General features: G+C 36.0%; 2 protein-coding genes and 1 pseudogene across 2 annotated transcripts; all 3 read left to right on the top strand.

Moving 5' to 3' along the window:
• IFNWP18 (interferon omega 1 pseudogene 18) lies at positions 693–1,419 on the top strand (annotated as a pseudogene).
• Positions 3,449–4,411, top strand: IFNA10 (interferon alpha 10). The gene has a single exon (NM_002171.2). The coding sequence runs from the start codon at positions 3,495–3,497 to the stop codon at positions 4,062–4,064; it is 570 nt and encodes a 189-aa protein (NP_002162.1). The 5' UTR covers positions 3,449–3,494; the 3' UTR covers positions 4,065–4,411.
• Positions 4,412–8,386: 3,975 nt separating this feature from the next.
• On the top strand, positions 8,387–9,123 carry IFNA7 (interferon alpha 7). The gene has a single exon (NM_021057.2). It carries the CDS (start codon positions 8,427–8,429, stop codon positions 8,994–8,996), a length of 570 nt encoding a protein of 189 aa, NP_066401.2. The 5' UTR covers positions 8,387–8,426; the 3' UTR covers positions 8,997–9,123.
• Positions 9,124–9,662: the final 539 nt, after the last annotated feature.

The following is a 9,662-nucleotide window of genomic DNA, read 5'->3' as shown; positions in this document are numbered from 1 at the left end:
TGAACTCACTAGAACCCAAAGGCTCCAATAGCTAAGACTGTGAAATAGCAAAGATGGCAGCCCACCCACTGCCGCTGGGAGCTCCATGTCAGGGAGGTATGAGGCTGCTACCAGTGTCTGGCTGGATTCCCAAGCCAGTGGGTCTTACCCTGAGACAGGCAATGGAAGGTGGGCCTGCCACTTGTCACTGCCCAGCGCCCTGGATGAAACCCCTTTCCTACGGGTATGTACAGGCGTGTAGCGTCCTGCTTGGTTGGAGTTATAGCTTCTTTTGTGGGGAGGCCTGGGTATCTAAGGCTCCAGGGTACCCATGCATGCGAGAGCGGCTGCTCTGCTGGAACCCTACGTAGCCCTGGATGTCAGACTAAACGCCCTGGTAGAGTGGGTTCACTAGGAGATCTCCTGACCTGAGGATTGCAAAGATCTGTGGGAGAAGCGTGGGTCCCCAGGGCTGCTCACTTACTCACCACTTCCCTGGGCAGGAGAGGCTCCCCTGGCTCTGTGTCACTCCTGGGGGGGCAGTTGTCCTGCCTTACTTTGCTCTATTCTCCATGGGTCAAGTTGTTTTCTTGAGTCTCAATGTGTGTACGTGGTTGTTTCAGTTGAAGGTGCTGTATTTACTTGCCCCTTCCATTTCTCTCCATGAGAGTGGCACACACTAGCAGGTTCCAGTCGGCCATCTTGGCCAATCCTGAAAACTATTTGTTTCCAGCTATAAGCCATGCATATAAAAAGAATGCCTTGAGAGAACCTGGAGTGCGGGGTTCATCCCGACCCCAGCTCAGCTAGGCCAGCAGCACCCTCGTTTCCCAATGGTCCTACTGCTTGTTCTACTGGTGGCCCTGCTGCTTTGCCACTGTGGCCCTGTTGGATCTCTGGGCTTTGACCTGCCTCAGAACCGTGGCCTACTTAGCAGGAACACCTTGGCACTTCTGGGCCAAATGTGCAGAATCTCCACTTTCTTGTGTCTCAAGGACAGAAGAGACTTCAGGTTCCCCCTGGAGATGTGGATGGCAGCCAGTTGCAGAAGGCCCAGGCCCTGTCTGTCCTCCATGAGATGCTTCAGCAGATCTTCAGCCTCTTCCCCACAGAGCGCTCCTCTGCTGCCTGGAACATGACCCTCCTGGACCAGCTCCACACTGGATTTCATCAGCAGCTCGAATGCCTGGAGTCTTGCTTAGGGCAGGCAACAGGAGAGGAAGAATCTGTGGGGGTGTTTGGGGCCCTACACTGGCCTTGAGGAGGTACTTCCAGGGAATCCATGGGAATCCAGAGAATCTACCTGAAAGAGAAGAAATACAGTGACTGTGCTTGGGAGGTTGTCAGAGTGGAATCATGAAATCCTTCTCTTCATCAACAGACTTGCAAGGACTGAGAAGTAAGGATGAAGACCTGGGGTCTGCTTTAGTCTTTCTTATTTTCTTCCTCTTCCTAGCTGTGTGTTTATTTCTTCTTTTCTAGTTCCTTAACTTGTAAAGTTAGTTCATTGGTTTGAGGTCTTTCTTCTTTTTTAATATAAGCTTTTACAGCTTTCAATTTCCCCTTTAGCTCTGTTTTCACTGCATCACATACGTCTTGGTATGTTGTGTTTTCATTTTCACCTCTCTCAAGATATTTTCTAAGTTCCCCTCTGGTCATCTTTTTTTTTTTTGTACTATACTTTAAGTTCCAGGTTAAATGTGCTCAACGTGCAAGTTTGTTACATAGGTATACATGTGCCATGTTGGTTTGCTGCACCCATTAACTTGTCATTTACATTAGGTATTTCTCCTCTTACATGTTTATCACATTTAGACATACATTTGTTTTCTTTTTGTTCCCATAAATTAAGATGAAAATCAGACCACTTTTACCTTCTAGGAAAAGTTAAGTGAGAAATATAAATATATTTGCTGTTGTGAATGCCATATAGAACCATTGTATAGTCCATTTAAAAATGAGAATAAATGAGAAATTAGTAAAAACTCCACTTACTAAATAGCTGATTTGCTAAAGCAGACCTCATTCCATTTAAGGACTCAGTATCTATAGGGCCTACTTATACAAAAAAAAACTTCTTACACAAAAAAAAAAAAAAAAAAGTTAGAGCCAGAGTTCAGGATCATGCTGAAAGTTATTTCTTTGCATAATAATATTCAATATTTATAAATTTATGAATTTAGAACAAAGATGGTCTTTTTTATTTGATAAGAATTGACTTGGATAGGAACTTCTGAAAACCTTTAGGGAATATGAACTTCAATGTAAAATGCCAAAAATGATTTAAATCATACTATTTTCTAAGTCATATATGTTTATTGGATTGATACTTCTTTTAAGGGTACAAAAATTAGTTCTCGTAGTGTAAATGAATCTAACATATTACAATAGTTTCTGACTTTCCAACAACTCTATCCAACAAAATTTTATTGCTTAATATACATATTTCTCATTGGGTTTTTTTGTGTATGATATGAGAAGCACTGGTATTGAGTTCATGAAGATAAACAAAATATTTGTAAGACCAATGTTACAAACCTATAGCAAATAGATGACTGTGATTGGAGGACTTTTTGTCCATTTTTTGCTGGATCTTAAAGTCTTATCACAGTATGTGGCTTTAACCTGCATATCTTTGGGCTGCCATTGACTATCTTATAGTTATTAGTTATGTTTGATCCTCAGTTCTTCAGGATGTTTGGTAGACTTTGAGAATTCAATCCAAATAGCTTACATTATATGTTTTATTTCTACTAAAGTTATTCAATACATCAGTACTTGTGTCAAGTGCTGAAAAGAAAAAAGTTTTGGCAATATCTGGATGAATACTGCAGCTGGTGAATTTACAAATTATTTTCTCATATAAAGCAAAATTCAAAGCTTCATACACTAAGAGAAAAATTTTAAAAAATTATTGATTCATATTTTTAGGAGTTTTGAATGATTAGGTAGGTAACTACATTCATATTATTAATGTGTATTATATAGATTTTTATTTTGCATATGTACTTTGATACAAAATTTGCATGAACAAATTATACTAAAAGTTATTCCACAAATATACTTATCAAATTAAAATAAATGTCAATAGCTTTTAAACTTAGATTTTAGTTTAACTTTTCTGTAATTCTTAACTTTACTTTGAATAAAAAGAGCAAACTTTGTAGTTTTTATCTGTGAAGTAGAGGTATACGTAATATACATAAATAGATATGCCAAATCTGTGTTACTAAAATTTCATGAAGATTTCAATTAAAAAAAAACCATAAAAGGCTTTGAGTGCAGGTGAAAAATAGGCAATGATGAAAAAAAATGAAAAACTTTTTAAACACATGGAGAGAGTACATAAAGAAAGCAAAAACAGAGATAGAAAGTAAAACTAGGGCATTTAGAAAATGGAAATTAGTATGTTCACTATTTAAGACCTATGCACAGAGCAAAGTCTTCAGAAAACCTAGAGGCCGAAGTTCAAGGTTATCCATCTCAAGTAGCCTAGCAATATTTGCAACATCCCAATGGCCCTGTCCTTTTCTTTACTTATGGCCGTGCTGGTGCTCAGCTACAAATCCATCTGTTCTCTAGGCTGTGATCTGCCTCAGACCCACAGCCTGGGTAATAGGAGGGCCTTGATACTCCTGGGACAAATGGGAAGAATCTCTCCTTTCTCCTGCCTGAAGGACAGACATGATTTCCGAATCCCCCAGGAGGAGTTTGATGGCAACCAGTTCCAGAAGGCTCAAGCCATCTCTGTCCTCCATGAGATGATCCAGCAGACCTTCAATCTCTTCAGCACAGAGGACTCATCTGCTGCTTGGGAACAGAGCCTCCTAGAAAAATTTTCCACTGAACTTTACCAGCAACTGAATGACCTGGAAGCATGTGTGATACAGGAGGTTGGGGTGGAAGAGACTCCCCTGATGAATGAGGACTCCATCCTGGCTGTGAGGAAATACTTCCAAAGAATCACTCTTTATCTAATAGAGAGGAAATACAGCCCTTGTGCCTGGGAGGTTGTCAGAGCAGAAATCATGAGATCCCTCTCGTTTTCAACAAACTTGCAAAAAAGATTAAGGAGGAAGGATTGAAAACTGGTTCAACATGGCAATGATCCTGATTGACTAATACATTATCTCACACTTTCATGAGTTCTTCCATTTCAAAGACTCACTTCTATAACCACGACGCGTTGAATCAAAATTTTCAAATGTTTTCAGCAGTGTAAAGAAGTGTCGTGTATACCTGTGCAGGCACTAGTCCTTTACAGATGACCATTCTGATGTCTCTGTTCATCTTTTGTTTAAATATTTATTTAATTATTTTTAAAATTTATGTAATATCATGAGTCGCTTTACATTGTGGTTAATGTAACAATATATGTTCTTCATATTTAGCCAATATATTAATTTCCTTTTTCATTAAATTTTTACTATACAAAATTTCTTGTGTTTGTTTATTCTTTAAGATAAAATGCCAAGGCTGACTTTACAACCTGACTTAAAAATAGATGATTTAATTATGTTACCTATCATAATTTTATTCAAGTTATAAAAATATATTTTTTTCTGTACCTGGTTATATGTTGCCTTCAGGATATAAACGTGAACATAAAATATACAGTCCCTGTTCTCTTGTATCTTTGATTTTTTCAGGAAAGAAATCTAAAAACAATAATAATGCTGAATTAATATCAGTGATGCTAACTGCTATAATGTGAGGAAGTAAAAAAACAATGAATTCCTCTTAGCAGAATGTAGATTGAGACATATCTGGAAATAAAAGCAGAGATATTCTCTGTAAACTGACTTCAACATGTAATTGAAAATGTACATTGCAAGTCAGATATGTGAATTTGCAGTTTCCAAGGAATACGATATCTGGAAGTTCATAACTGGCAATGGAAAGGACGCAAATGAAGGCTGTCATATGGGGAGCAAGTGGAGAGGGAAAAAAAGACTTAAACTGGATTCTGAGGATCTTCCACCATTAAAGTGTGGGAACAGAAGAGACACAAAGGAAACAGAGGTGGAATACCTTAACATTAGAAGGACAAGAGGGAATGGTGATAAAAGTGTATTTAGAAAATAAATGTGCTTAGAAAAGGAATCAATAAACTTATGGAAAATGTGAATTAAAACTGAGCACTACAGCAAGAAAATAGATGGCAATGCAGAGCTTACTGAGAGCTGGATTCATAGAATTAATCAGCAGAAGCCATACTGGGGTAGACAGAAGAGTGACTCAGAAAAGAGAAATCAAGATAACACATACAGAAAATGTGAGAAAACTGCCTTTGCAATGGTGGCAAGTAATAAGTTTGGACCCCCAAAAATGTGGATTATCTTTTATCTGCATAGTGTTTCCTTTTTGAAAATATATGTCACTGAATAAATTTCATAATTGTGATGCATTGGTGAATCATATTAATACATTTAATAATTTATATATTTAAAGCATAAAATGTAAAATTATTTACAATAGTAATTGATCATTATTTTGATTAATACTCTGTTAAATGTCAGTAAAAACTGACACATTTTTTCATAAAATAAAATTGGAAACTGGAAAAGATAATCTCTTTCTGAGTACTTTAGGAATGGGGAAAGGATTCCCTCTTTAATAAATGGTGCTGGGAAAACTGGATAGCCATATGCAGAGAACTGAAACTGGACCCCTTCCTTACACCTTATACAAAAATTAATGCAAGATGGATTAAACACTTAAATGTAAAACCCAAAACCATAAAAACCCTAGAAGAAAACGTAGGCAATAGCATTCAGGACATCGGCATGGGCAAAGATTTTATGATGAAATCGCCAAAAGCAACTGCAACCAAAGCTAAAATTGACAAATGGCATCTAATTAAAGAGATTCTGCACAGCAAAAGAAACTGTCAATCATCATGGTGAACAGGCAACTTACAGAATGGGAGAAAATTTTTACAGCCTACCCAATTGACAGAGGTCTAATATCCAGAATGGACAAAGAACTTAAACAAATTCACAAAAAAAAAAAAGCCCCATCGAAAAGTGGGCAAAGGACATGAACAGACACTTCTCAAAAGTAGACATTTATGTGGCCAATAAACATGAAAAAAGCTCAACATCACTGATCATTAGAGAAATGAAAATCAAAACTGCAATGAGATGCCATCTCATGTCACTCAGAATGGCAATTACTAAAAAGTCAGGAAACAACAGATGCTGGTGAAGCTGTGGAAAAATAGGAAAGCTTTTACACTGTTGGTAGGAATGTAAATTACTTCAACCATTGTGGAAGACAGTGTGGCGATTCATCAAGGATTTAGAACCAGAAATACCATTAGACCCAGCAATCCTATTCCTGAGTATATACCCAAAGGAATACAAATAATTCTATTATAAAAATACATGGACGTGTATGTTTATTGCAACACTATTTACAATAGCAAAGACAGGAAACCAACCCAAATGCCCATCAATGATAGAATGGATTAAAAAAATTGTGCTTCAATTTTTTTAATCCTACTGAAGCTGTAGGATTATTTGGGGGACAGAGACTATTATTCCCTACTTTTGGGAATAGTAAATTGTCTGATTCCTACAAACTGTGTGAATTGGAGAGTTTGAATTTCAATATGTGACTCTGTATTTGACACCAGGCTATTTATTTTCTATTATAACAAAGTAGAGGGAGGATTAGAGATGAAGTCATAAATAGTTAATATAGTGCCAGGCAAAGGATGATATTATGCTGCTCTTGCAACTTGAATCCCCAGATCTACATGCACCTTAAAAAACTAGAACCCCAGTGGTTTTAGCAGTAAACTAAATGGGCATTACTGATTTTCACTAAAAGCTGAATGGAAATTTTTGTCATTGTCTATTACAATCCCAAATATGGCCATGATGAAGAAAAACAGCTTCATTCTTGAACACCTTCCATTAGAAGAAAAAATGAGAAACTAGGAAAAACTCCACCTACTAAATAGCTGATTTGCTAAAACAGACCTCATTCCATTTAAGGACTCAGTATCTATAGGGCCGAGGCAAACTAACTTTGCCAGAGTTCAGGACCACTCTGAAAGTTAATTCCTTACATAATAATATTCAATATTTATAAATTTATGAATTTAGAACAAAGATGGTCTTTTATATTTGATAAGAATTGACTTGGATAGGAACTTCTGAAAACCTTTAGGGAATATGAACTTCAATGAAAAATGCCAAAAATGATTTAATTGATAATATTTTCTAAGTCACATATGTTTATTGGAATGATACTTCTTCTAAGGGTACAAAAATTAGTTCTCGTAGTGTAAACAAATCTGACATATTGCAAAAGTTTGTAACTCTCCAAGAACTCTATCCAACAAAATTTCATTGCTTAATATACATCTTTCTCGTTGGGTTTTCTTGTGTATGATATGAGAAGCACTGGTATTGAGTTCATGATGATAAACAAAATATTTGCAAGATCAACGTTACAAACCTATGGCAAATAGATGACTGTGATTGGAGGACTTTTTGTCAATTTTTTTGCTGGATCTTGAAGTCTTACCACAATATGTGGCTTTAACCTGCCTACCTTTGTGCTGCCATTGACTATCTTATGGTTATTAGTTATGTTTGATCCTCAGTTCTTCAGGATGTTTTGTACACTTTGAGAATTCAATGCAAATAGCCTATATTATATGATTTATTTCTACAAAAGTTATTCAACACATCAGTACTTATGTCAAGTGCTGAAAAGAAAAAAGTGTTGGCAATATCTGGATGAATACTGCAGCTAGTGAAGTTTACAAATTATTTTCTCATATAAAGCAAAATTCAAAGCTTCATATACTATGAGAAAATTTTTTTAAAATTGATTCATATTTCTAGCAGTTTTGAATGATTAGGTATGTAATTACATTCATATTAATGTGTATTATACAGATTTTTATTTTGCATATGTAATTTGAAACAACAAAATTTACATGAACAAATTACATTAAAAGTTATTCCACAAATATACTTATCTAATTAAACTTAGATTTTAATAGCTTTTAAACTTAGATTTTAGTTTAACTTTTCTGTCATTCTTAACTTACTTTGAATAAAAAGAGCAAACTTCATACTTTTTATCTGTGAAGTAGAGGTATATGTAGAATACCTAAATAGATATGCCAAATCTGTGTTATTAAAATTTCATGAACATTTCAATTAGAAAAAAATACCATAAAAGGCTTTGAGTGCAGGGGAAAAACAGGCAATGATGAAAAAAAAAATGAAAAACGTCTTTAAACACATGGAGAGAGTACATAAAGAAAGCAAAAACAGAGATAGAAAGTAAAACTAGGGCATTTAGAAAATGGAAATTAGTATGTTCACTATTTAAGACCTATGCACAGAGCAAAGTCTCCAGAAAACCTAGAGGCCACGGTTCAAGTTACCCACCTCAGGTAGCCTAGTGATATTTGCAAAATCCCAATGGCCCGGTCCTTTTCTTTACTGATGGTCGTGCTGGTACTCAGCTACAAATCCATCTGCTCTCTGGGCTGTGATCTGCCTCAGACCCACAGCCTGCGTAATAGGAGGGCCTTGATACTCCTGGCACAAATGGGAAGAATCTCTCCTTTCTCCTGCTTGAAGGACAGACATGAATTCAGATTCCCAGAGGAGGAGTTTGATGGCCACCAGTTCCAGAAGACTCAAGCCATCTCTGTCCTCCATGAGATGATCCAGCAGACCTTCAATCTCTTCAGCACAGAGGACTCATCTGCTGCTTGGGAACAGAGCCTCCTAGAAAAATTTTCCACTGAACTTTACCAGCAACTGAATGACCTGGAAGCATGTGTGATACAGGAGGTTGGGGTGGAAGAGACTCCCCTGATGAATGAGGACTTCATCCTGGCTGTGAGGAAATACTTCCAAAGAATCACTCTTTATCTAATGGAGAAGAAATACAGCCCTTGTGCCTGGGAGGTTGTCAGAGCAGAAATCATGAGATCCTTCTCTTTTTCAACAAACTTGAAAAAAGGATTAAGGAGGAAGGATTGAAAACTGGTTCATCATGGAAATGATTCTCATTGACTAATGCATCATCTCACACTTTCATGAGTTCTTCCATTTCAAAGACTCACTTCTATAACCACCACAAGTTGAATCAAAATTTCCAAATGTTTTCAGGAGTGTTAAGAAGCATCGTGTTTACCTGTGCAGGCACTAGTCCTTTACAGATGACCATTCTGATGTCTCCTTTCATCTATTTATTTAAATATTTATTTATTTAACTATTTTTATTATTTAAATTATTTTTTATGTAATATCATATGTACCTTTACATTGTGGTTAATGTAACAAATATGTTCTTCATATTTAGCCAATATATTAATTTCCTTTTTCATTAAATTTTTACTATACAAAATTTCTTGTGTTTGTTTATTTTTTAAGATTAAATGCCAAGCCTGACTGTATAACCTGACTTAAAAATAGATGATTTAAGTAAGTTACCTATCATAATTTTATTCAAGTTATAGAAAAATATATTTTTCTATACCAGGTTATCTGTTGCCTTCATGATATAAACGTGAACATAAAAAATACAGTTCTTGTTCTCTTGTATCTTTGATTTTTGTCAGGAAAGAAATCTAAAAACAATAATAATGCTGAATTAATATCGGTTATACTAACTGCTGTAATGTGAGGAAGTAAAAAAAAATGAAT

This window comes from Homo sapiens, chromosome 9, assembly GCF_000001405.40.
Source record: "Homo sapiens chromosome 9, GRCh38.p14 Primary Assembly".
NCBI classification, from domain to species: Eukaryota; Metazoa; Chordata; class Mammalia; order Primates; family Hominidae; genus Homo; species Homo sapiens.
Note: the sequence above shows the minus strand (reverse complement) of the source record. Positions and strands in the feature narration are given on the sequence as shown.